Here is a 27,629-nt window from a genome sequence, read left to right on the forward strand (position 1 = left end):
GTTTCTATAGACAACTATTAATACAGGTACATTGTGTCCAGTAATTTTAATTGAAAGTTCAGCTAATAACCTAATGATGATTAAAATGTGTTTTCAACGGAAAAAGCAAAGAGAGAAGGGGATGATTAACAAATAAATAAAATATAAATGACGTAGCATGAAATTCTCCTCGTCTAGAAACCTTAATAAAGAGTATTTGCCATAAAAGTTTAATTCTGACAAATAATAGAAAAAAAATGACAAATAATAGAAAAAAACTAAATAGGGGCTGGGCACGGTGGCTCACGCTTATAATTCCATTACTTTGAGAAGCCAAGGTGGACAGATCATGAGGTCAGGAGTTCGAGACCAGCCTGGCCAACAGGGTGAAACCCTGCTAAAATACAAAAAAAAAATTAGCCAGGTGTGGTGGTGGGCACCTGTAATCCCAGCTACTCAGGAGGCTGAGGTAGGAGAATTGCTTGAACCTGGGAGGTGGAGGTTGCAGCGAGCCGAGATTGCGCCACTGCACTCCAGCCTGGGCAACAGAGCAAGACTCCATCTCGGGGGCTGGGGGCAGAGGTGGGGAAGAATAAAACTAAATAGGAATAAAAACATTTTCCCAATAGATAACAGCTCTCTTATATTAATTTTCTATATTCAGATGTTTAATAATAGCATGTACATATAAGAAGGCAAAATAATCTCCCTCTATCTACCATTACCTTGCTTCTCCCTCTACCATGGGAGAAAAAAAAGGAAAGGAAAGGGGTGTGAGGTGGAAAAACAGGGAAAGGAAAACCCAAAAAGTTCCATAAAATCTTTCCCAGGAGCCAAAGCAAACTACTATTCGTCTTTTGCAGTGAAATGAATGTTCCTGCAAATAATATATGCAAATAAAAACCTGGAAAATAAAAGCAAACTTTTAAAATAATTTATAAAAATTATTTCTAAAATTTCCTAAGAAACCTCATGTAATAATGAATTTACAAAATGCATATTTAACAAGTAAATAATAATTTCTCATAAATGTTCACCAAACATTCATAGCTAAGTAACACCCTAAAAATACCTTTCCTAAAACAGGAATTAATGATGAGAAATTGCTTGTGACATCTATAAAACATATGAAGTTATCATGTCACTGACAAGTACCATAAGGTTCTTTTTCACAGTAAGAGAGCTATGTTGAAGATTTCTAAATTCTACTACCATTTGTGATTTTATTACTTACAGTAAGCTATCATGGAAATATGACCACATATGAAGAGATGTAGTTCTTTAGAGTGGGGAGTATAATGGAGAAGAAAATGGAAATGTAGATTCCTACACCTACACCAAAATAAAATTTGCTATTTAAAAAACTCCATAAAAGTACTAGAAAAAAAAATGAATGGATGTTTTTATAATCTTGGCATAGGAAAGTACTTTTAAAGCATGACTGAAAATCAGAAAACATAAAAGTAAAACATGATGTCAATTACATATAAATTATTTTAATAGGTCAAAATGCATGATAAACAATACTCAAAGGAAAAAAATAGGTAAAATTGTCAACAAACACAAAAAGATGCCCCAACCCCACTAAATAAACAGTAAGATCCATTAAAAAAAACTTTTTAAACTGGCAAAAATTTGAAAGAATGATTAATACTATACAAATGTAAGCACTTTTTAATATGGTTCATGGAAGTATAAATTCGTACAAATTTCCTGGAAAACAAGCTGACAGTATTCATCGATATGTTATATGTAATCATTCAAAGCAAACCCATTCTTACTCATTTACTACTCTGATAAACTTGTATAAATACCCAAAGTTCTATGGACAAGGATCTTCAGTAAAATAACCCAAGACAGTTAAAAGCTAGAAACCTAACTATACATCAATATGAGACTGGCTAAATGAATGACATATCAAAAATGATAAAATTACTATGAGCATACGTTATAACAAATGTCCTAGAAGACAGAATGTTATGCAGCTATTACAAAGATTAAGATGGATTAATATGGCCGGGCAAGGTGGCTCATGCCTGTAATCCCAGCACTTTGGGAGGCGGAGGCGGGCAGATCACTTGAGGTCAGGAGTTTGAGACCAGCCTGGCCAACATGGTGAAACACTGTCTCTACTAAAAATACAAAAAACTAGCCAGACGTGGTGGTGTGTGCCTGTAGTCCCAGGTACTCGGGAGGCTGAGGCAGGAGAATCGCCTTGAACCCGTGAGGCGGAGGTTGCAGTGAGCTGAGATCACACCACTACACTCCAGCCTGGGCAACAGAGCAAGACTCTGTCTCAAGGAAAAAGAAAAAAAAAAGATGGATTAATATATACCAATGTGGGAAAAGAAACCTAATTACTTAAGTTTAGACTGGGTGAATCTTCTGAGGTCAGGAGTTCGAGACCAGCCTGGCCAACATGGTGAAACCCTGTCTGTACTAAAAATACAAAAATTAGGCATGGTGGCACATTGCCTGTAGTCCCAGTTACTTGGGAGGCTGAGGTGGGAGGATTGCTTAAACCCAGGAGGCGGAAGTTGCAGTGAGCCGAGATGGCACCACTGCACTCCAACCTGGGTGACAGAGCAAGACCCCATCTCAAAACAAACAAGCAAAAAAACCCTAACTGCTTAAGTTTAATAATTTCACTTTTACAAATGTGTGACAAATGCATTTTAACATACACATAATGTTAACAAAAACTTATAAAATACTTAACATGGATGCCAGGTCCTGTTTTAAGTGCCTTATGTACATTAATTTAATCTTTTTTTTTTTTTTTTTTTTTTTTTTGAGACAGAGTCTCTGTCGCCCAGGCTGGAGTGCAGTGGCACGATCTCGGCTCACTACAAACTCCGCCTCCCGGGTTCACGCCATTCTCCTGCCTCAGCCTCTCCGAGTAGCTGGGACTACAGGCGTCCGCCACCACGCCTGGCTAATTTTTTGTATTTTTAGTAGAGACAGGGTTTCACCGTGGTCTCGATCTCCTGAAGTCGTGATCCGCCCGCCTTGGCCTCCCAAAGTGCTAGGATTACAAGTGTGAGCCACCGCGCCTGGCCACATTAATTTAATCTTAATAACATTTCCATTTTACTGATGAGGAAGTGAAATTAAGAACAATTTGCTCAGAATCACACAGTTTATTAACAGTAGAATCTTAATCTCTATATTATGCTATCTCTTTAAACTTGATAATGGCATTTTTACTTTATTCCCTTTTTGTTGGCATTCTCATCAAATGACAATTAAAAATTGCAGAACAAATCCAACATCTTGGGTGCACCAAACTCTCACAAATCACCACTAAAGAACTTACTCATGTAACCAAATACCACCTGTTTCCCTAAAAACCTACGGAAATAAAAAAAAATTGAAATAAAAAAGTAGTAAGAAAAAACCCCCAACAAATCCAACATCTTCAATGCAATACGGAAACTAATAAAACCAGATTACAATCAATAAAGTACACTACCAAATAGTTATTAGTACCATATATTCAGTGATGATGGAAATGTTATCTGTGGTAGCTACTAGCCACATGTGGTTACTGAGCACTGAAATGTGCCTGGTGTGACTGACAAATTGAATTTATAATTTTATTTAATTTTAATTAATTTAAATTTAAAGAGCCACATGTGACTAGTGGCTACTGTATTAGATAGTGTAGTCTGGTGTACTCTGGAGGGAGATGAATATGCTGATAGCCAACACATGTGGCTATGACTGTGGGCATAATATAGGTTTTCTCTAAAGTTAATCACCCTGAAAGGCATCATCCTTTGATTAAAGCAATAAGCTATAATACATTGCGGATGGGCTGCAGTAGAAGTAGGGAAAGGTCCCTATCTGTTGTCTCTAATATAAGCCTTCCGGCTGAGGGGAAATGTGGACAGAACAACTAGGTAAAATCGTCAAGGAAAGAGAACACTTGAACAACCTATAAAACAAGTAGGTAAAATCGTCAAGGAAAGAGAACACTTGAACAAACTATAAAACAAGTAGACCTAACAGCCTATGGAACACCCTGCCTGGCAACAGCAGAATATAGTACAATTGGCCCTATGTATTGGTGGGTTCCAAATCCATGGATTCAACCAATCATGGGTGAAAAATTAAAATAAAAACACAACAAAATAACAATATAACAATAAAAAATAATACAAATAAAAAACACAGTATAACAACTATTTACATAGCACAAATGTGGTATTGGTATTATAAGTAATATAGAGATAATTTAAAGTATATGGGAGGATGTGTGTAGGTTATATGCAAATATTGACCCAGTCTGTGTAAGGAATTTGAGCATCCACAAATTTTGGTATTCATGGAACATCCTGGAACCAATCCTCCCTGACAGATACTGGAGGACTACTGTATATTCTTTTCAGTTGCACATGGATCATTCTCCAGGAAAGACTATATGCTAGGTTATACAACAAACCTCAATAAACTTAAAGGAAAAAGATAAGACAAACTGTTTTCCAACTACAATGGAATGAAATAGATATCGGTTAACAAAAAAATTTTGGAAATTTGCAAATACATAAAAAACATGGTCTGAAAAAAACCAATGAATTAAAGAATAAATCAAAAGGAATTTAGAAAATAAATTTGAGATAAATGAAAATTACAACATTACATATGTCATGGGACACAGCTAAAGTAGTTGTTTCTAGAAATTTATAGCTATAAAGACCTATATTAACAAAGAAGAAATATTTGAAATCAAAACCTAACCTTCCATCTTAAGACACACACACACGTGAAACAGCAAACTAAATCTAAAGCAAACAGAAAAAAATAAAGAGAGGAAATTAATGAAATAGAGAATAGAATAGCAAAAAGAATGAAACCAAAATTGGTTCTTTGAAAAACAAAACAAAACAAAAACAAAATTTATAAACCTTTTTAACCTGACTGACCAAAAAAAAAAAAAAAAAGGAGAAGACTCAAACTAGTAGACTCAGAAATGAAAGAGGGGACATTACTACTAACAGAAATAAAAAGACTATTAAAGGAATACTATAAGCAAATGTATGCTAATAAATTACATAACTGAAATGAACAACTTCCAATAAAACCAGAAAGTACTGAACGTGATGCAAGAAGAAACAGAAAATAAGAACAGACCTAAAACAAGTGAAGAAACTGAATGAGTAATTGAATACTACCCACAAGGAAAAACCCATCCCCAGATGGCTTCCTTAGTGAAGTCTACCAAATGTTTAAAGAAGAAATAATACCAATTCTTCATATATTATTCCAAAAAATAAAAGAGGAGAGAATAGAATACTTCCCAACTCATCCTATGGAACAATATTAACCTACCACCAAAACCAGACAAAGACATCACAAAAAATCGACAGACCAGTATCTCTTACAAATATGGACACAAAAATCCCCAATAAAATTGCAGCAAACTGATTCCAGGAACATATAAAATGAATTATACACCATGACCAAATGGGATCCAAGGAATGCGATGTTAACATCTAAAATCAATTAATGTAATACATTATATCGATAAAAACAACAACAAAAAAAGTCACAACCATCTCAACAAAGAAAAAACAATTGAGAAAATCCAATAGTCTAAAAACTCTCAATAAACCAGAAACAGAAGCAGATTTCCTCAACATGATAAAGAGCTTCTATAAAACTCCTACAACGGACATCATACTTCCTGGTAAAAGACTGGATGCCTTCCCCCTAAATTCAAGAATACAGACAAAGATGTCTGCTCTTGCCACTTCTCTTACTGAAGGTGCTTAGCCAGGGCAATTATGCAAAAAAAGACTGGAAAGAAAAAAGTAAAATTTTCTCTATTCACAGATGACATGATCTTATATATAGAAAATCCCAAAGACCACTAAAAAAAATCTATTAGAATAACGAGTTCAGCAAGACTGCAGGATACACTATAATTACACAAAATCAATTATATTTCTATACATTTGGAATGAACAATACACTAATAAAATAAATAATTCCATTTATGATAGCACCAAATAATACTTAGAAATAAGCTTAACAAAAGAAGTGCAAAACTCATATTCTGAAAACTATACTTCACACCCACTAGGATGGCTATAATAAAAAAGTCAAATAAGTTATGACAAAGATATGAAGAAATTCTAACTCTCAGACACTGCTGATGTGAATTTAAATGGTGCAGCCACTTTGGAAAATAGTCTGGCAGTTCCTTGATTAGTTACTACAGAGTCTTCATATAACCCAGCAATTCCACTCTTGGATATACTGTACTCAAGAGCAATGAAAACATATATCCATGTAAAAACTTGTATGCGAATATTCATAGCAGAATTTGTAATTGTCAAAAGATGGAAACAACCCAAATGTTGACCAACTGATAAATACAATATGGTGTATCTATACAATGAAATGGTACTGCATAAAAAGAAATAAAGTACTGATACATGCTACAACATGGACGAACTGGGAAAACATTGTTAAGTGAAAGAAATCAGGCGCAAAAAAGTCCAAAAACTATGATTTTACTTAAATGAAATGCCCAGATTAGGCAAATAAGTACATTAGTAGTTGCTTAGGGCTGGGGGTCAGGGATATAATAGCTTTTAAAGGGCACAAAGTTTCTTCTTTTTTTTTGAGACAGAGTTTTGCTCTTTCACCCAGGCTGTAGTGAAGTGGTGCCATCTCGGCTCACTGCATCCTCTGACCCCCAGGTTCAAGCGATTCTCCTGCCTCAGCCTCCCACGTAGCTGGGATTATAGGCGCCTGGCACCATGCCCAACTAAGTTTTGTATTTTTAGTAGAGACAGGGTTTCACCTTGTTGGCCAGGCTGGTCTTGAACTCCTGACCTCAGGTAATCCATCTGCCTCGGCCTCCCAAAGTGCTGGGATTACAGGCATAAGCCATGGTGCCCGGCACGAAGTTTCTTTAAAATGTGAGCTTCGGCAGGGTTCGGTGGCTCACGACTGTAATCCCAGCACTTCTGGAGGCTGAGGCAGGTGGATCACTTGAGCTTAGGAGTTTGAGACCAGCCTGGGCAACATGGTGAAACCCTGTCTCTACAAAAAAAAATACAAAATTAGCCAGGTGTGGTGGTGCGCACCTGTAGTCCCAGCAACTGAAGGTGGAGACGGGAGGATTGCTTGAGCTTGGGAGGCGGAGGCTGCGGTGAGCCAAGTTGTGCCACAGCATTCCAGCCTGGGTGACAGGGTGAGACCCTGTCTCAAAAACAAAACAAAACAAAATACCTTAAATTTTAAAACTGTGGTGATGATTGCACATATTTGTGAATATGCTAAAAGCTACTGAATCTTATACTTTTAAATCAACTGAATTGACATACAATAGAAAATAAAACAAAATAGCTATCATTTAAAATAGCATAAAATATCAAATGTTTGAAAATAAAAGACATGTAAGATATTATAGAGAAAATTATAAAATTGAAATACGTTAGAGATAACTGACATGGGAGAAACACAATGTTAATAGATTAGAAAACTCAATAAAGAAGACAATTTTCCACAAATTAATATATAGATTCCATCAATCTCAATCAAAATTCTGATAGATTTGTTGGCAGACCTTGATAAGCTGATTCTAAAATTTCTATGACAGCAAAGGACCAGAAACAAAAAATTATTTTTAAAAAGATGAAGGATCAGTTATATAGGTATTAGTATTTTTTCTCTCTCATACAAAGTCAGGTATTAGTATTTTTAATGAAGTTACAATAATTAAGGCAAGATGCTCATGGCAAAAGGATAGGCAAAGAGATGAATAGAGAGTCCAGTAAGAGATCCCTGCAGCACCTGCAGCCAACTGATATATTATAGAGGTGGTACTGCAGTATACATCAGTGGGAAAAATGGATTCTCCAATAAACTGTACTGAGACAACTGGGTTAGCACATGTAAACTAAAATAAACTGGGACTTTAAAAGAATCCTATCGCACACCAAAGTCATTTCCAGGTAGATAAAACAAAAATGGGAAAACATACCCATAAAGTTTAAAAAAACAGAAAAATATCTTCAAGTCCTAGGAAAAGTATTCTTATGAAAGACACATGTAGTAGTACTTAAAAAGACATATCTGACATTAAGAACCCCTGTTCATCAAAAAACATTTGACAAAAATGAGAATACGAAGACACAAACTCAGAGAAGACACTCGCAACACATACAACTGACCCAAGAGCCAATATCCAATATGTAAAAGAATTCCTACAAATCAGTAATGAAATAAAAATTAGCTCAATTAGAAAAAGCAGATGAAAGATGTGACCAGGAATTTCAGAAAAGTGGAAAACTAATGGCCAATACACCTATCAAAAAAGAACCTAACTTACTTAGCATTTGAGGAAAAGTAAAATACAAAAGCAATTAAATGCTGTACCTACTAGTGTAGCAAAAACACTGAAAAAGTCTGACAGCACTAAGTTTGGTGAGGATACAAAAATCCTCAACTTCATTAATTAGGGAAAAACAAGTTAAAACCACAATGAAATAACATATCACACTCATTAGACTGGCAGAAACAAAACTTTAAAAAAAAGCATAGTATGTGTTGACAAGAATATGGAGTGATTATGTAATCTAATGCAAACCACTTTGGAAAACCATTTGATGTTGTCTTTAAGTTGAACATTCCTGTTGTAAATACATATTCTATGGAAAAATTCTTGCACATATGCCATGAGACACTTTTATGAATATTTAAAATAGCAATGTTTGGAATAAGAAGAAGACTGGAAAGTGCCCAAACATCCTCAGTAGGATAGTGTACAGTGTGTCTACACAATGGAATACTCTTTCCATTTATCCAAGAAAATGAACAAACTACAGTTACACATATCAATAGGGAAGAATCACACAAACCTAATACTGAGCAAAATACCTGCAGTATGATTCTAGATCTATAAAATGTAAAACAGGTAAAACACAACTATTTTACTTGGAGATTCACTACTTTTTTTATCTTTTTCTTTTTTTTTTTTTGTTTGTGACAAGGTCTCCCTCTGTCACCTAGGCTGGGCGCAGTGGTGTGATCCTGACTCACTGCAACCTCCACCTCCTGGGTTCAAGTGATTCTCCTTCCTCAGCCACCTGTGTAGCTGGGATTACAGGCACACAACACCACACCTGGCTAACTTTTGTATTTTTACTAGAGACGGGGTTTTGCTATGTTGGCCAGGTTGGCCTCAAGTAATCCGCCCACTTCCGCCTCCCAAAGTGCTAGGATTACAGGTGTGAACCATTGTGTCCAGCCAGTAAATAATACTGAGAAATTTTAAGACCAGCACAAATATTAATCAAGTACAATCATATGTGTATCTTACCAGCTCTCTTAGGAAATCCTGTTGAGAGGAATCTCAAAGATGTCATAAGGCGTCCATTATCTACTTTTGAACCAAGAAATTTTACTGTTACTACAGCATATGGAAGACATTGCCTAGGTTTATCTACAGGCTTTGAAAGGACACTGTATTCATAGAAGTACACCTGAAAGATGAAAACAGGTTCATGCTGATTAATTTTGGCAATCAGAGTTGAATAAGCTCATATTTTTAAAAAATCAATATAATTGCATATTATTTATATACTTCCATATAAACTTCTCCAGCTGCCTTGTTTAACCCTAATGTTTTTGAAGATGTACAGAATTCCTTTTTCTCCCCCACAATTTTTTTTTGATAGGCTACTAATGTCTGCAGAAAAAGGCACAATTCGTTTTTAAATAAAAAATATTTTTTCATTAAAAGCTAAATGTTTTGCATGAAGTTTCAACTACTCTATTTTATTTGGTAGAAAAAATTAGGAAAATAACAATAGGTAATCTGTTTTACATGTGGGTGCATGGATATACTTTCATTGGGAAGATTTATCTTCATTTAATCATAATATGATTATATATAATCCATATATAATTTAATATTCTGTATAAAATTAAAGGTCCACAGAATAAGTGAAATATGACAGATTACTGTTTCATCTGATGACTAATACATAAGCCTTTTCTTTTTCCTACTTTTGCAAAGTATAGAAGATCAAAATCTTGTTTCAAAATAGCCTTGTTTTTTAAAATTAATATTATTTATGATTGATAAATCTTAACTATATATATTTGTGGGGCACAATGTGGTGTTTTGATATATGTATACAATGAGGAGTAATTAAATCAAGGTAATTAACATGTCCATCACCTCACCCATCACTTTTTATGGTGAGACATTGGAAATTTACTCTCAGCAATTCTGAAATAATGCATTATTATTAAGTATGGTCACCCTGCTGTGCAGCCTTGTTTAAATGAGAAGTTGGTATATTTTGAAAGTTAGTAATTAATCTATATAATATCTAAATAAAAGAAGCCACTGTACTTTGAACTGAGTTAAATGTAATTTTTCAAACTTCTTCACTAATATTCCATACAACAAATATTAAAATAGCTTTCACTGTTTGCTTAAGATATTATATTGAACGAATTAAGAGATTTTCATTTAACATTTTGGGAATTTAAGTCTTAAAACATACAATGTGAAACATGTACTTTTCAAGAAATCAAATGAACCATTAACATACTGCTGAACTGTAGGCTTGCAGTTCAATGGTATCTTTCAAAGAAGGTGCATTTCTTGACATATGGCAATCAAAGTTAGGAGAAGGATCCAAAGAAACTTTATTTTTATCCACAGAAGGTTGGATTTTCTTCACTTTTCCAAAGAGAACCTAAAAAAAAAAAAGCCAAAAAAAAAGTACGTAAAAATATACCAAAACGTTTCTAAACTGTCACATTTCAAACATAAAAGGCTAACATTGCTTTGTTTTTCTGAGACAGGGTCTCACTCTGTTCAGTCCAGGCTGGAGTTGCAGGCTCGACCTCTCAGGCTGAAGCGATCCTCCCACCTCGGCCCCGTTGAGTAGCTGGGACTACAGGTAAGCACCACCGTGCCCAGCTAATTTTTGTAGGAACCAGGTTTCACCATGTTGCCCAAGCTGGTCATGAACTCCTGGGTCAAGCAATTCTCCTGCCTTGGCCTCCCAAAGCACTGGGATTATAGGCATGAGCCACCGTGCCAGGCCCTGATTTTTTTTTTTAAGAAGTAGAAATATGAATGGAAAGATAATCCATTTTCTAGATGAATGGGATGACTCAACATGGCAATTATGTCAATTCTCCCCCAAATTAAACTCTAAGATTAGAGTAATACCAATTAAAATTTCAGAGAATCTACTTTTTTTTTTTTTTTTTTTGAGACAGAGTCTCACTCTGTCACCCAGGCTGGAGTGCAGTGGTGTGATCTTGGTTCACTGCAGCCTCCGCCTCTTGGGCTCCACGATTCTCCTGCCTCAGTCTCCTGAATGGCTGGGATTACATGCCCAGCTAATTTTTGTATTTTTAGTAGAGATGGGGTTTTGCCATGTTGGCCAGGCTGGGCTCGAATTCCTGACCTCAGGTGATCTGCCCACCTCGGCTTCCGAAAAGCGTTGGGATTACAGGCGTGAGCCACCGCGCCCAGCCGAGAATCTACTTTTAAAAATGGGGTTTAATTTTAAAATGTACTTGGAAGACAAACACGAATAGCTCAGAATTTTTTTTTTTTAAGTCTGGGTTAGCAATTGACAATGATGGAACAGGACAAGTGACTTGCAATTACACATATAAAAACATTTTTAAAAAGGATGGTACTACCACAAGAAAAAGCAGAGAAAAGACCAAAATGAACAAAAAAAAGAATGAAAGAAAAAGCCTGGAGTAAGCTCCAACATGTATTAAAAATACTAAAAATACAGTATATTAAAGATACCGTTTGAAATAAAGAAGTGATTATTCAATTAATGATGTGAGACAACAGAAAAAATTAAATTCTTTTCTTAACATGTTAAATATTTAAGTATTAAAAACACAATGAAAATACTGTAGAAAGAAACATAGGCCAATATTTATTCAATCTCAAAGTGACAACTGTTTTCTAAGAATATGTGCCAATAAAATGAAACAAAAACATATAAACTTCACAACATAATATTCTAAAATTTCTGCCCATAAACAACAAATGATTTAAAAACTAAAACCATGAACATAAATGACGGTATTTTATTACTGTTATTTTAAATAGATTAGTACGTTCATTCAACAATCAAAACAATACTAAGAATAAAGTGGTATCCTGAATTGGATCCTGGAACGCAAACAAACATGAGTAGAAAAATTAGCAAAAGCCAAATAAAGTCTGTAATGTAGTTAATGGTGTGACAATGTTAGTTTCTTAGTTTTGACAATCATGCCATATTTATGTAAAATGTTAACATCAGAAGAAGCTGGGTGCATTATATATAAGAGCTCTCTTTATTATCTTTGTGACTTTTCTATAAATCTAACATTATTCTAAGCTAAAAAGTTTACTAAAAAATTAAAAACGTGAAATGATAAAACATTATACAGAGAGAAGCCTAGCTCTTAAAATATGCTTTAGTCAATAGATAATGCTCACCAGTCAACGCAGAAAAAGGGAAAAAATCCCCCCAAACTGTCAAGGAATATAAATAAGTAATTCACTAAATACAGTCAGTAAATATATTCAACAGAAACTTTAAACTCAGGAGTAATCATAATGAAGAAAAAATTAAACCACACATTAGACTGGCAAAAGTTTTTTTTAAAGTTCAGTATAATATATAGGTTTACTGAGGTTGTGAGATAACAGGCATTCTTACACACTGTGGATGGAAATGTCAATTAGTGCAATCTTTCTCAGGACAGTTGAGCATTACACAATCAAAAGATGTAAAAATGTACATACTTTTGATTTCTAATTTGACACCTAGGAATAAACCAATTAATTCTTAGCAAAGAATCATTCGTGTGTGTAAAATGTACCTAAAAGGATAATCTACATAGCATTTAGGAGTGTAAAAACAAAACAAACTAAAAACCAAATAACTTATATCCTAACATTACAGAATTTGTTGGGCAAATATGGCAGGTCTACAGTGTAATATTATGCAGCTGCTCAAAAGGATATTACAAAATAATATTTAAGGGCTTGGAAAATGTTTATTTTATAATCAGTGAAAAAAGCAAGTAATATACAAAGCAACAACATACTTTAATTACAATTATACCTGCATGTCTATATACATGAATAGATGACTAATACACATACACAAAAAACTCTGTGGTTACTGCTGGGCTTTTTGGACTTTTTACTACATTCCAAATTTTCTAAAATCCTTATCTATTACTTTTTAATATAAAAGTAAATTATGCTTAATTTGATATTTGAGGTCAAAAAAATTGTAAGGAGTTATGCCACATGAACCACTGATTTTCTGTAGCTATACACACAATCCCAAGCTGTTTTCATGCAAATCAGGATACCTACTGTGATTTTAATAGTCCTGGCAAAGCTTAACCAGAGTAAATCTTTTTTTTTCTTTTCTTCCCCACTTAGATTTCTCTTTATGTTTATTTCTCCAAGAAAAATGACCAGAATAAATCTTAACCAATTTATCTGTGGATGCCTGCGATTCTGCTATGAGACTTTTTAAGATTTTGAATACCTTTTAGAATTTCAGAAAAGTTGTAAAAATAGTTCAGAGGTCAATTGGGAAGGTGGTGGAGTAGGAGGTACCAGACATCTGTCTCCCCACCTAGACAATAACTGCACTGGCAAAATCTGTCTGGTGTAACTATTTTGGATCTCTGGAACCTACTGAAGGCTTGCAACTTTCAGGGGAACGCTTGAATAGCATACAGGTTGAATATCCCTTATCCAAAATGCTTAAAACCAGAATGTTTCAGATTTTGAATTTTTTCAAATTTCAGAATATTTGTATTATACTTACCAGTTGATCATCCCTAATAAGGAAATCTGAAACCCTAAATGCTCCAATTAGTATTTCCTTTGAGTGTAATGTTGGCACTCAGAAAATCTCAAATTTTGGGGCATTTCAGATTTCAAATTTTTGGATTAGGGATGCTAAACCTGTATTATGGTTAATTTCAGTCAATTTCAGTTCTTAGCACAGTGGCAGCCACCCTTTGTGCCCCATGACAGGCAGCTGTACAGTGTTCCTGGAGCAGCTTGTACATGTGTTCTTGGCCACAATTTTTGTGGGCCAGAGTGGGCAATAATAAACATATGGTATATGTATTCTCATCACTGAGTGCTGCTTCTATTAATAACAGAGTGGCAACTAGAAGTGGCAGGCATTGCTGCATCAATACCATTGTTGCAAGCCCCTCCTTGCCTGGCTGAAATGACACCCAGGGGATTAAAGAGCCAGTGCCTTTTTTCCCTTCTTCATTTTTTTCTTTTCCCCTATTTTGCAGCCAGACATAAAAAAAAAATACTACTCAAAAGCAACTACAGATACAGGAGAAATTAGAAAATCAGCACACAGAGGGAAAAGTGCAGGCTCAGAAAAGGCTGAGAAGTTTATACAGCAGGTTGATCCTTGGCACAGAGACAGCCTACAACAATCAAAAAACAGAAACACAAAACCACAACCAAACCCTGGGAGGAGATGATTTCCAGAGTTACCACATTATTAGATGAAATGTCCAGTTTTCAACAAAAAATATCACCAGGCATGTAAAGAAACAGAAAATTAGAGCCCATTCAAAGGAAAAAAAAAACAGAAATTGTCCCTGAAAAAGACCTGATGGCTGATCTACTAGACAAAGACTTTAAAATAACTGTCTTAAAGATGCTCAAAGAGCTAAGTATGTGGAGATAGTAAAAAAACAATGTATGAACAAAATGGAAATATCAATAAAGAGAAAACTTAAAAACCAAAAAGAAATCCAATAGCTGAAAAGTACAGTAACTAAAATGAACAGCTCTCTAGAGGGGTTCAAAGGCAGATATGAGCAGGCAAAGGAGAGAATAAGTGATCTTAAAGATTGGAAAACGAAAATTATTGAGGCTGAGGAACAGAGAGAAAAAAGACTAAAAAAAAAAAAAAAGTGAACAGACCCTAAGGGACCTGTGGGGCACCATCAAGCGTAAGAACATATATGCTGTGGGAGTCTGAGGACAGAGAGAAAATGGGCAGAGAGAACATTTGAAGAAATGAAGGCTGAAAACTTCCCAAATCTGATGAAAGACATATATATAAACATCTAAAAAATAGGTAGGAGGATCGCTAGAGCCTGGGAGTTTGAAGCTATGTCCTCAGGGAAAAAAAGAAAAAAAAAGAAAAGAAAAGAAAAAGGTTTTACTGTAGCCAGCAAACTATCCTTCAGAAATGAAGAAGAAATAGGAGGGATAATTTCCCAGACCAGAAAAAAAAAAAAAAAAAAAGGCTGAAAGAATTTATTGTTACCAGACTTGTCCTACAAGAGATACTAAAAGGAGTTGTTCAAAACCAAAAGGATGCTAATATGATACTGTAACCATGGTGTATAAACCATCTTTTTTAAGAAGACAAAATGAAAAAACTTAACCACAATTTTTAAGAGACAAGCAATATACATAATATAAATTGTGGGATTATCAAAAATTCAAAATGTGGGAAGAAAAGAAAATTGGTGTGTATAGGTTTTTTTCTTTGCAATTAAAGTTAAACTGTATCAGTTTTAAATAACTTGTTTTAACTACAAAATGTGTTTTGTAAGCCTTAGGGTAACCAAAAAGCAGAAATACTAAAATTAAAAAGCAATGAATTAAAACATACTACCAGAGAAAATCAACCACAAAGGAAGACTTTGTTTTTAAAAAAACAAAATATACAAACTGTTACTTAGACTAAGAAAATAAGACAGAAGACCCAAATAAATAAAATCAGAAACTAAAAGGAAACATTATAACTGAAACCACAGAAATACAAAGGATTGTTAGAGACTAGTATGATAACTATACAGCAATAAATTGGAAAACCCAAAAGAAATAGATACATCCCTGGACATCCAACCTATTGAGACTGAACCATGAAGAAAAAGAAAACTTGAATAGATAAATAATGAGTGACAAGATCAAAACAGTAATAAAGTCTTCAGACAAAGAAAAGCCCAGGTCCTGATGGCTTCACCACTAAATTCTAACCAACATTAAAGAATAATACCAATTCTAATCAAACTATTCAAAAAAATTGAAGGGGAGGAGATACTTCCAAACTCATTCCACAAGGCCAGTATTACCTTGATGCCAAAACCAAAGACAACGAAAGAAGCTATGGGCCAATACCCCTGATGAACAGAGATGTAAAAATCCTCAACAAAAGATTAGCAAACTGAAATCAACAGCATATTAAAAATATCATTCATCATGACCAAGTGGGATTCATACCAGCGATGCAAGGATGGTTCAACTTATACAAATCAATAAACGTGATAGATCACATCAAGAAAATCAAAAACAAAAAAACCATATTATCATTTCATTAGATGCTGAAAAAGCAATAAAACCAAACATTCCTTCACAAAAAGTCTCAACAAATTGGGTACAGAAGGAATATACCTCAAAACAATAAAACTCATATATGACAAACCTACAGCTAATATCATACTGAATGGGGAAAAATTGAAAGCCTTTTTACAAGGATCTTGAAGACAAGGATGCTCACTTTAACCATTTCTATTCAATGTAGTTCTAGAAGTACTAGCCAGAGCAATCAGGCAAGTGAAAGAAATGAAGTGCATCAAAATGGGAAAGGAAGAAGTCAAATTATCCTTGTTTGTAGATGACATGATCTTATATTTAGGAAAACCTAGTGTCATTAAAAAAACCCTCTTAGAACTGATAAATTCAGTAAAGTTGCAGGATACAAAATCAACAAACACTCATCAGTAGTATTTCTATATGATAATAGTTATTGATCTGAAAAGGAAATCAGGAAATCAATCTCATTTACAACAGTTGCAAATGCTGCACTCTGAGCTTGCACCACTGAACTCCAGCCTGGGTGACAGAGTGCGACTGTCGCAAAAAAAGGAAAGGAAAATGGAAGGGAGAAAGGGAGAAAAAAGGAGAAAAGGCAGAAAGGACAAAAAGGGAGAAAGGGGAAAGGGGAAAGGAGAAAGGAGAAAGGGGAAGAGGAAGGGGAAGGGGAAGGGGAAGGGAAGGAAAGGAACACTTACCACTGGATATTTGGAAAACCCTAACTTGGAAAACTAGAAAGTACAGAAAACTATATTGTCATGATCCAAAGATCATCACTCATAACAACTAAGCACACTTTATATCATCTTGATATCTCATTTTTTAAAAATTTAAAAAGTTAAACATGATTGCATAAGCATTTTCCCATATCTTTAAAAATTCTCCATAAATCTAACTGCAATGGATACTTCTTATTCCAGAGACATAATATATGATACTTTCATAATACACTATTGCTGGACATTTACATGGTGGCTATTTTCTTCTATAAACAAGGCTTTGACACACACATACACACACACACACACACGCATGCACAAAATAGTTCAAAGGTCCCATATACCCTGTGCCCAGCTTTTCTTAACGTTAACATCTTACATAACCATAGCAAAATCACCAAAATTAAGAATTTAACATTGATACAATACTATTAACTAAAATAAACTGCAGGAGTTTAAAAATAACTAGCTTAAACCAAAATTAATATAATGCTTTAGGGGAGGGTATGTAAAACACTATAGTACTTATTATGATAGAAACAAAAAGAGTAAAAGAGAGGTGGGTAAATCAGAACAAAAAAATATACATATTGGGAAGACAAAGATGAAGGCTGCCTTTGCTTTTTTTTTTTTTTGCTTTGTGTTGCACACCCAGGTAAAGAGGAAAGGAGAAAATTTTGAATAATGATGACAAAAATAATAAATATAATTATTACTTATTTAATAGACTGCAGTTTAAAAACATTAACAATTTATATCGAAAGGATAATATGTTCAGGTCAATTCAAAGCAAACTGTCCATATACTTAATATTTGTTTTATGATACCTACCTTAAAAATTAAAATACTTTCTACAGTAATGCTTTGACTATGAGAATAATTCAAGGCAATATCAACATGTCTAAACATATAAATTCCAAGAAGAGGATTTCCTAGTATCTTCAATGTAGATGCTCTGGTACTTATTCCATTCTGATATATCTGGGCTACATCACTCTGGGGAAGTGCTAAAAAGCAGAACTGTTCTTCAAGTTCCCTGCAATGTCTTCCACTTTCACGCATCTCTGACCTAAAGTAAAACAAACAATGTATACAGTTAAAGATAAATATCAACAAAATTTTCAAGAAGATACATATTTCCACTTACCACAGTTAGAAAGCAAGAGAAGTAGCGATATTCAGAGGTATTACTACACTGTGATGATAAATTTGGTTGAAAATCATCTTAGGAACAAATTCAGGATTACTTAGCCAAGATTTATGAACATTATCATCATTCCTGGTCTAAAATAACAGGGGCTAACATTTCTTAAATGCTGCTAATGTAACCAGTACAAGTCTTAAGCATTACATGCATCTTCTCATTTCATTCTCAACTTCCCAAGAAGTTTTTATAGTTTATTTTGTTGCTATCGACATTTTTAAAATGAGGAAAATGAGGTTCAGAAAGTTAAATCTTGCCGAAGTAGGAAAATGACAGAGTTGGAATTATACACGCCAATTCTTGTCTGTCAGGTTCCAGAGCTCACATTTTTTGTTAATTGTGTTATGGAGGGAAAAACATGCATTTTCTAAACAAAGTATCTTGTCTATATCTACGTATCTCTACACATCTATAGACACAAAAGCGCACACACATGCACAAATATATCAATTATTAGGGACATTCTCCATTCTTCAGGGATTTAGGTAACAGCTGGGAGAAACAAGCTAATATTTGATTACAGGATCTTATCTTAGGTAAAGAAAATTAGGAATCAACCTCAAAAAGATTATAATCTGAAGTATAGATAATCCCCAATTCTATTACTTCCATTACAAAACCCATTTAAACATATAAAATATATATCCCTTCCCTAAAATTGGCAGATTAGATATTCTATATGGCTTGCTCAGGAGTAGTGGCAGCAGAAATTGCCACATCAGGTGGTACAATAGAGTGGTTCAGACACTAGGGTCCAAATGATTATCTGCAATGGAGAACCTACAGAACCCAGCAAAGGAATGTATATACCACAAAAAGAAAATTGTTCTTGAGAACCACATGCTTCCGAGATTTATTTCCTGGAACACCACTTATAGAATGTGTTTGAAGTATACCATGCACATAAGTATATTAATACTTATTTTCAAGAATGACTCATCATTAACAGTAGGCAGGACCACAAAAGCAAGACTGACTGATTAGATAATGATCACTTCTATTTCCTAGAAATGTCAGCCTTAACTTTTGGCTCCACAAATTGGCATTTCCTGCTCTTGATTTCAACTTGACATCAGATTCCGTGAACCACTAAGATCACTGTCTAAGATTCTTACACTATACATAAAAGTAACATTTGAAGGTACACAGAATAAATTAAAGATGTATAATGTAAACCCTACAGCAGGGTTTTTCCACAGTGGCACCAGGGATATTTTGGGCTAAATTCTTTTTTTTTTTTTTTTAACCTGGTCATCTTCCTGACTACCATTATATCATCACAAGGGTTTCAGTGGAATGAAACAAATATAACAATAAAAATCTAATCCGGGGCTCAAAATCCTCTGTAAATTGAAGTAGAAAATACTCCCTGGAGTTTTGTATTGGTAATTATACTACTAATACTTTTTATTTTTCAGTATGTCTTCAGAACTATATTTGAAAAAAAAATGGGCCTAAATATGTTAGTAAAAAAATGACCTATAAAAAAGTTAGTTTTTGATCTATTTCTGGCTCTAAAAATTGCATAAAAGGTTGGCTTTCCAAATTTATTCAGACGACAGGATCTAAATCACGATTTTAAATGACAGACACTCTGAGTCTCAAGACTTCCATTTCAGAAACAATAGGTAAAACGAGCCTAAAGACTCTTTTCTGTACACAGTAACATGTAATTGAAACTGTGCCCCCAAGAATTAAAGAAACCATTGACTAGCAGAAATTCTTAAGCTTGCAGGATGGCATATAAGAAAACTTACCGAAATACTCAAACTCCCTCCGCTTGTAACAAGACCAGCTGAAATCATTTGGAACCATTTTGGCCAAATGAAGTTTATACACAATAAGCTTGCTGACATCACAGCCTGAATTTCCACCGTGTGTTTTATACTAACTCCCCCCAAATTTGCACATGGGACCCATGAGGAAGCATAAAGAGACAACTGTGCATGCCCAAGGACTTTCTACACCTCCCTTTCCTTCTACCAATCACCTAAAGATCCTAGGATCCACCCCCAAACCATTTCTAATAAAACTACTGCTTTAAAGCTAGCTTGGGGAGACAGATTTGAGCTTGACCTCCTATCTCCTTGTGAGTCTACTTGCAATAAAAGCTTTTCTTTTCTCAAAAACCCGGTATCATAGTACTGACTTCTAGTGCATCAGGCAAGGAGCTTCACCTGCTTGATAACGTAACTGGGTAAGAATCTGAAGAACTAGCATATACAAAGTACTCTTTTACCAAAAGACATTAATAAGCATCAGAATCTGTGCTAAAATAATATTTATATTATCTTAAATTTTAAAAATACATAAAAGAATAATTTTCTAGAAATGTTTCCCCATGTTTTTCTGCAGCAATACTAATGAGGGATAGATGTCAAAGTCTGTCACCTCTGAACCCTGCATGTACTTTAAGCTATGGGGTGGAAAGCTCAAAATCAACACAACACTCAAGTCTTAGAATTTGTAGTTATACTCTTGCTTGTGGGTTTTTAATTTTGGTCATTACTTTTTAACTAATATTTTATTAAATATTAAGTAAATAAATGTAAAAGACAGATGAGAAAACTCATATAATAGAGAAGCTGAGTGGATGAAATAGAATTGGAATCTTGTATATCTTTTTGTAGACCAGGAACTTTTAATTTACTCTGTGCTACCATACTGTCTCATTTAAGCTAACTACAACAAAGTATAAGTGCTTTGGATGGAATGCCTATGTCATAGTTAATTACATCATTTAAAATAGGTTCCAAGACAACCTACATATAGTAGGTAATTTTTTGTGCAATAAATAAAACTCTGGGAAGTATTTTTTCTCTAAGTTTAAGCGGAAACACAAGTTCATACAAGGTATTTAGCTATGGGGTGGGGGGTCGCCTAAAGTAGAGATTAAAAGTATTCAAGTAAGTATTTTTTTATAACAAAGAAAATAAAATTATTTCTTTGGAGATCTTTAAAGATAACTTAATAATTTTCAAATCCATCAGATTGCTAGTGATAAGAACTCAGTATCCAGCTGGCCCAAAGTGCAATATAAGAACCAAAACGCTGACAGCTAAGAGAAATTGGGATTCCACAATATTTAAGAAATGTGCTAATGCCACCCAACTCCAGATGTAAGACTTTGTTTCCTTTGCTGTTATAACAAATTCTCACAAACTTAATGGATTAAAAAGCATAAATTTATTATTTTAGTTATGCAGATAAGTCAGACATGACTCTCACTGGGCTAAAATCAAGGTGTCATCTGTCTGGATTGTGTTCCTTTCTGAGGTTCTAGGGGAGGATCTCTTTCCAAGTTGGCAGAACTGAATTACCAGCAAGGAGATTTCCCAGCTTCTAGAAGTTACCCACCATCCTTGGCTCATAATCTCCTTTTTTCATCTTCAAAGCCAGAAAAGGCAAGCTGAGTCCCCCTCATATCTTTTTTCTTTCATCTCTGCTCTCTGATCCATTCTTCTGCCTCCCTCTTCTGTTACTAAAAGCTCCTGTGATTAAACTGAGCCCACTAATATCACCTCAGATAATCACTCATCTCCAGGTCTGTAACCTCAATCACACCTGCAAAGTCCTTTCTGCTATGTAAGGTGATATATTCACAGGTTCTGGGGAGTAGGATGTGGACATCTTTGGGGAAGCATTATGCTGCTTACCACACACAGATTCTGAACTTGGCCCCTCAATGATACGAAGAACTTGTTTTTCCCCACAACTCTCCCTCTGCTGTGCACAGCTTTATCTTTATCCACATCCAGCTCCCATGATGGTCACAAGAAGAAAGCTGGTAGCAACGAGGCTTCCTTGCTCACAGCCACCAGAAGAGAAACAGACTTCACCTTCCCAGGATTTCCAAGCAAGTCTTATGCTATGGTTGTTTAAAAATAACGACTAGGCTTGTACATCAATAAACTCATAAAGCAAGGGGAATTGGACAAAAAATGGTTAGGCTAATTATAAAAGATGATCTAGAATTGTTAGGAAAACTGCAGTCTACTCATTTGGCTACGCTTTTTCACACATACCCTTCTTCTAACACATATACTTTCAAAAACGCTCATTCACACAAAGCACTTTCAATCCACCTCACAAGGAGGGAACAACCCAAAGTCTCACTGAATTACTACATCCAACTCCAGATCCATGATGATCACATGGATGAAATGCCTTCATTTCCAATAGATCTGGATATAGATCTAAATAACCAACGTTCCTTTAGGTGACTTACGGCTAGGTTTAAATTATCTAAACCCAAAATACAATGGTGGAGGAAAAAATACAATTAAATTCTAAAAAGTAAAGAATGCTAACAATTGTCAGTATTAACTTGTCCTTAGCACAAGTATATCCTTCTGTAAAGAAGTAGCTGGGATTCCTTGCTCTCAAAATTCCAAAGGCTAGTAACTATAGCAGGAGATCTTGTTCAGACAATGGGTGAGAGTAAGAATGTCTGTCTCTTGGCAACAAGCCTCTGGGACCTTCCCACCATCCAAGGCCCTCAATCTATAATGAACTTCATATAGTGGATTTCAACTTGAAACTATCAATTTCTACCCCCAGATTGCATTTAAAATACAGTCATGTGCCATAGTAGACATTTTTGTTAACGACAAACCAAAAATACAATGGTGGTCCCGTAAGATTATAATGGAGCTGAAAAATTCCTATTGCCTAGTGATAGCTTAGGTCTCACAGTGTCATAGCATAATGCATCACTTTCATGTCTGTGGTGATGGTGGTGCACTGCCAGTCATATAAAAGTATAGCATGTATGATTATGTACAGTACACAATACTTGTTAATAATAAATGACTATGTTGTTGGTTTATGTATTTAGTATACTATACTTTTTATTTTAGAGTATATGATCTCTCCTTATTAAAATAAATTAATTGTAAGACAGCCTCAGGCTAGTACTTCAGGAAGTATTCCTGAAGAAGGCATTGTTATCATAGAAGATGACAGCTCCATGCACGTTACTGCACCTGAAGACCTTCCAGTGGGACAGATGTGGAGGTGGAAGTCAATGATATTGATGATCCTGACCCTGTGTAGCTTTAGGCTTATGTGTGTGTTTGTGTCTTAAGTTTTTAAATAAAGAGTTCTAAAAGTTAAAAAAAACAAAAAACAGAAAAAAGTGTATAGAATAAGGATAAAAATATTTTGTACAGTTGCACAACGTATTTGTGTTTTAAGCTACATGTTATTACAAAAGGGTCAAAAAGTTAGACTTTTAAAGTTTATAAAGTAAAAATATTACAGTAAGCTAAGGTTTATTATTGAGAAAATTAAAAAATACATTTAGCGTAGCCTAAGTGTACAGTGTTTATAATGTCTACAGTAGTAACAGGTATACGATATAGTTGAGGTGTATAAGTAGGCTACACCATCTAGGTTTGTGTAATTCCACTCTACGATGTTTACACAATGACGAAATTGCCCAATGATGCATTTCTCACAACATATTCCTGTCATTAAGCAACGTGTATCTTTGCTGTATAAACTTGAGTAGTTCCACTTACTAGGCAGAAAATATTTAAAAGGAGTTATTTGGGAAAGATTTAATGCAACAGATTTGTGCTTTACCACATCTTTATCCCCTGTTAAATCTCATTCCTTTTAAACCCATATTCACCCTAACTTTGGAAAGGATTAATTACCTATTTCAAGCTAATCTTGCAAAGCTGAACTGTGAAACTAGGCCACAAAGTGATTCTTTTTTATTGAATCTGAATTTTCTACGATTGAGAAAATAATGTTTCTTGTGTCTAAACGGGAAATGGTCAAGGCACTCTAATATGCTGAGTTTTTGGTAGAAATTTTCTCAAAAACTACAGCCTCATGAAACACAGGATCTGTGCCCTAAGGTACAGATTATCACCAATTTCCCATTTGGGAATACTGGAGGGGTGGGGATTCCTCATTGCCCTCTTCCCTTGAAGTAAATCCGTATTTTAGAATCTCTTACCTACAAGTACCCCTTTCCCAGTACCAAATTCAGTTCCAGTTGGGTTATCATTGACTTCAAGTACAGAAACCCATTCAAACTGGCTTGTGTTGCCAGACTCAGTTTTGCACTTTGAACACAAGAACAAGATAAAACTCAAAATATACTAGGAGAATGAGACACAAATCAATATATTGTAGTAAGTACCATAAAATGAGTATAAATAACTATGGGAAACAAATGAGTTTTTGTCTAATTGGGCAAATAGCTAAGAAAACAATAAATCCTATACATGTTGGTCATTTACAATGTTTTAACAGCCCTATCACTGGGTACTTGTTCTAACTTTTCTATAACACTAACAGGGAGAAATAACTTGTTTGAAAGGACAAAAATTTTAATGTCCAAAATAAGCAAAACCAAAGAACCGTGTCAGGAATTCATTTTTGATCAAAGTGTTTTTCAACTTGGAAGTCATTGGATATACCCAGTCCTTTTTACCTACAAAACTGTGTTTTTAAGAGGAAAGGCAATATACCACAACAAATTCTGTCATTCCCATTAATTCCAAATCTCCAGACACCAAGTGTGGCAGCATGTTTGAATCAAGAGGAATCAATTCTAAAATGAACAAGCCAAAACATTCCAAAACGAGTTCCACATGTGGGTCTATCAAGCTCTAGTTAGGTTTTAAGTTAAACAGTGAGAAATGGCAAAGGAGACAAGTTAGAAGAAAATATAGGAATGCTAAATTGTGCTTACACAAAATCTATACCTATAATTAAAAATGCTTACAATGAGAACTTTGCATATGCTCTTATTCTTATCAAAATGACAATAATATGCCTTCCAAAAAACCTGGAGAAGTACTTTAAAAAATTATGTGTGAGAAATGGCATCAACATAGAATAGTTCTAGTGGAATAGCTGGAAACAGCTGGCTACAATCCTCTCAAATTAAAACATCAACCCAGTCTCTTAAGGGCTGGGTTCAAGAGTAAAAAGAAGTTACTTTTTGATTACTTCGACTGCAGTTTTACATTATCTAGGAGGTGTGAGGGATCTACAAATTGCCTGCTTAATAAAGGTGCTGATGCATGTTTCTGAAAAATTTATCAAGGTTAAAAAATTGGAAGGAGGTGTCTGAAATCTCACTACATTAATACATAAAACTAATCAAATCTCACACTTGGCTTTCAATGTTACAAAAGACTATGAGAATGTAACAAAAAATAATCTGTGTTTTCTTAGTAATAACTTACTAAATCTCATATGGTAGAAATGAATTAGCATAAAACTCCATAGTAACAAACACAACAAAATCTCAAACACGTTTAGATCATAGTAACTTACCTCTTAGCAGTAAAATTTTTTTCCAGTTCCTCATTGTGAACCAGTTTTGTATCCCCAAACTGCCATAACGACTGCAGATCACAGTTTACATCAAGCCTGCACTGGTTAAGAGTATCATGTATAAAACTATACTCTCTACTATTGGTGTAACAAGGTGACAAGTAAACTAAAGGTAGAAAAAGAGAAAGCAGTTGTATTTAAAATGACATTATTGGACATCTGTACAATGACAACTGTATCTCTAAGACACAAAATAACTAAGTACTGGAATTTTCATTAACAACATAAGGCAACCATTTGTATTTAAGATTCTACAACAGTAATGTAGACCTCCTATACTTGATATAAATGAAAATATGAACCATGATTTTCTCCACATACCTATTAAGAGTTCTTAAAAGTTGACACATACAGATATGACAGTCCCAGAATTTTCAACTTAAGATGTTGCAACTCTGACTGTACAATGCACATCATTACACAAATCTGGCAGCTACTGTTAGTGCATGAGTATTTGCCAAGTAAAGATAAGGCAATCTGCACATTAGAAAATGATTGGGTTATTTTGATTTGCAAAAGTACAAGAACATGTGTGTAAGATGCTGCCTGATACAGTGGCATGTGAAAGAGGAAACAGACTTTCTTAGGACAGTGAGCATCTCCAGCATTGTTGTAGTAAATAGATGCATAAAAGGATAAAATCCTATGGAAGTGAACTCAGAGGAAAGCAAGGAGCAAATATAATTGACTATTGTTATTGGTGGTAGTTATATTCCACAAAGTTCCCACCAACATCGAGTCACAAACACTGTGTCACAAACTACTGTTCTTGGGGGAAAGGAAAGGGTTAAGTTACTGTGGGCATCTGGTCAATTTTTTTTTTTTTTTCCTTAGAGACAGGCTCTCACTCAGTAGCCCAGGCTGGAGTGCAGTGGTATGATCATTTCTCACTGTAACCTCTAACTCCTGGGCTCCAGCGATCCTCCTGCCTTGGCTTCCTGTGTAGCTGGGACTACAGGCACAGGCCCAACATGCCCAGCTAGCTTTTCTTTTATTTTTTGTAGAGATGGGGTCGCTATGTTGTCCAAGCTGGTCTCAAATTCCTGGGCTCAAGCGATCCTCTCCAACCTTGGCCTCCCAAAGTGCTGGGATTACAGACAAGAGCCACTGTGCTGATCCTGGTCAAATTTTTGACCACCAAAATGCCATCTGCATTATGTAGATTCTTCTGCCAACATCTTTATAAAACAAACCAATCTCATCAGTTTTGAAAACTTGTTCTTCCATTTTCCTATGTGACATTTAGCTGGTTATTTAAAAAAATTCTTTCTTAACATCCTGATCTGCAGAACCCATCTGCCTGCAAGTTCAATATTTTTCATATTGCATCTATCACCTTTTGAAATGTTTGAGTCAAATAGCACTAGCCAAGAAGGGTTTAACATTTTCCTGACTCTGGGTAATGTGACCTAAGTTCTTCCGGCTTTTAGCTTCACAACAATGCTGCCCACTATGTTTTTTTAATTAGCCATAACGAAATCTCATGAATCTATAAATTTAGCTGCTTTTCTATCTTTCCCAGAGTTTCATCAGGCACTACAGATGTTACCTTAGCACTTTTTGGTGAGGCCTGATGTACAGATTGGCAAGTTTCTTCCTCCTCTCCCTGGAAATACATTAACATTGAACTCAGGCCTGAGTGAAGCTTACCTAAAATGTGTTTTCTCTGTAAGGCATATCATAACCTTCTTGACCTTAGGAACACTAGACCACACTTCAGCATTACACTTGGAGACCATTTAAAGTAGTGAAATCACCAACAAAAATGTTAACAATTGATATGGTTTGGCTGTGTCCCTACCCAGATCTCATCTTGTAGTTCCCATCATCTCATGTGTCATGGGAGGGACCCAGTGGAAGGTAATTGAATCATGGGGGCAGTTACCCCATGCTAGTCTTGAGATAGTGAGTTTTTACAAGATCTGATGGTTTTATAAGGGGCCTTTCCCTCCTTGCTGAGCTCTTCTTTCTCCTGACTCCATGTGAA

The 27,629-nt window shown here is 35.0% G+C and overlaps 1 protein-coding gene across 2 annotated transcripts in view; it reads right to left on the reverse strand.

The window, feature by feature from the left end:
• TEX15 (testis expressed 15, meiosis and synapsis associated) overlaps positions 1-27,629 on the reverse strand; it is an 81,465-nt gene that overhangs the window by 17,811 nt on the left and 36,025 nt on the right. For both annotated transcript variants that reach the window (NR_146525.2, NM_001350162.2), the window contains 4 exons: positions 25,583-25,748; positions 17,911-18,148; positions 10,557-10,703; positions 9,314-9,476 (listed from right to left, as the gene is read on the reverse strand). Coding sequence is in view for 1 of the 2 variants with exons in the window: in NM_001350162.2 (NP_001337091.1) it covers positions 9,314-9,476; positions 10,557-10,703; positions 17,911-18,148; positions 25,583-25,748 (714 nt within the window). In the remaining variant the exon portion in view is untranslated. The remainder of the gene's footprint in view (positions 1-9,313; positions 9,477-10,556; positions 10,704-17,910; positions 18,149-25,582; positions 25,749-27,629) is intronic.

The sequence above is a fragment of the Homo sapiens genome, chromosome 8 (assembly GCF_000001405.40).
Source record: "Homo sapiens chromosome 8, GRCh38.p14 Primary Assembly".
In the NCBI taxonomy this organism is placed as follows: Eukaryota; Metazoa; Chordata; class Mammalia; order Primates; family Hominidae; genus Homo; species Homo sapiens.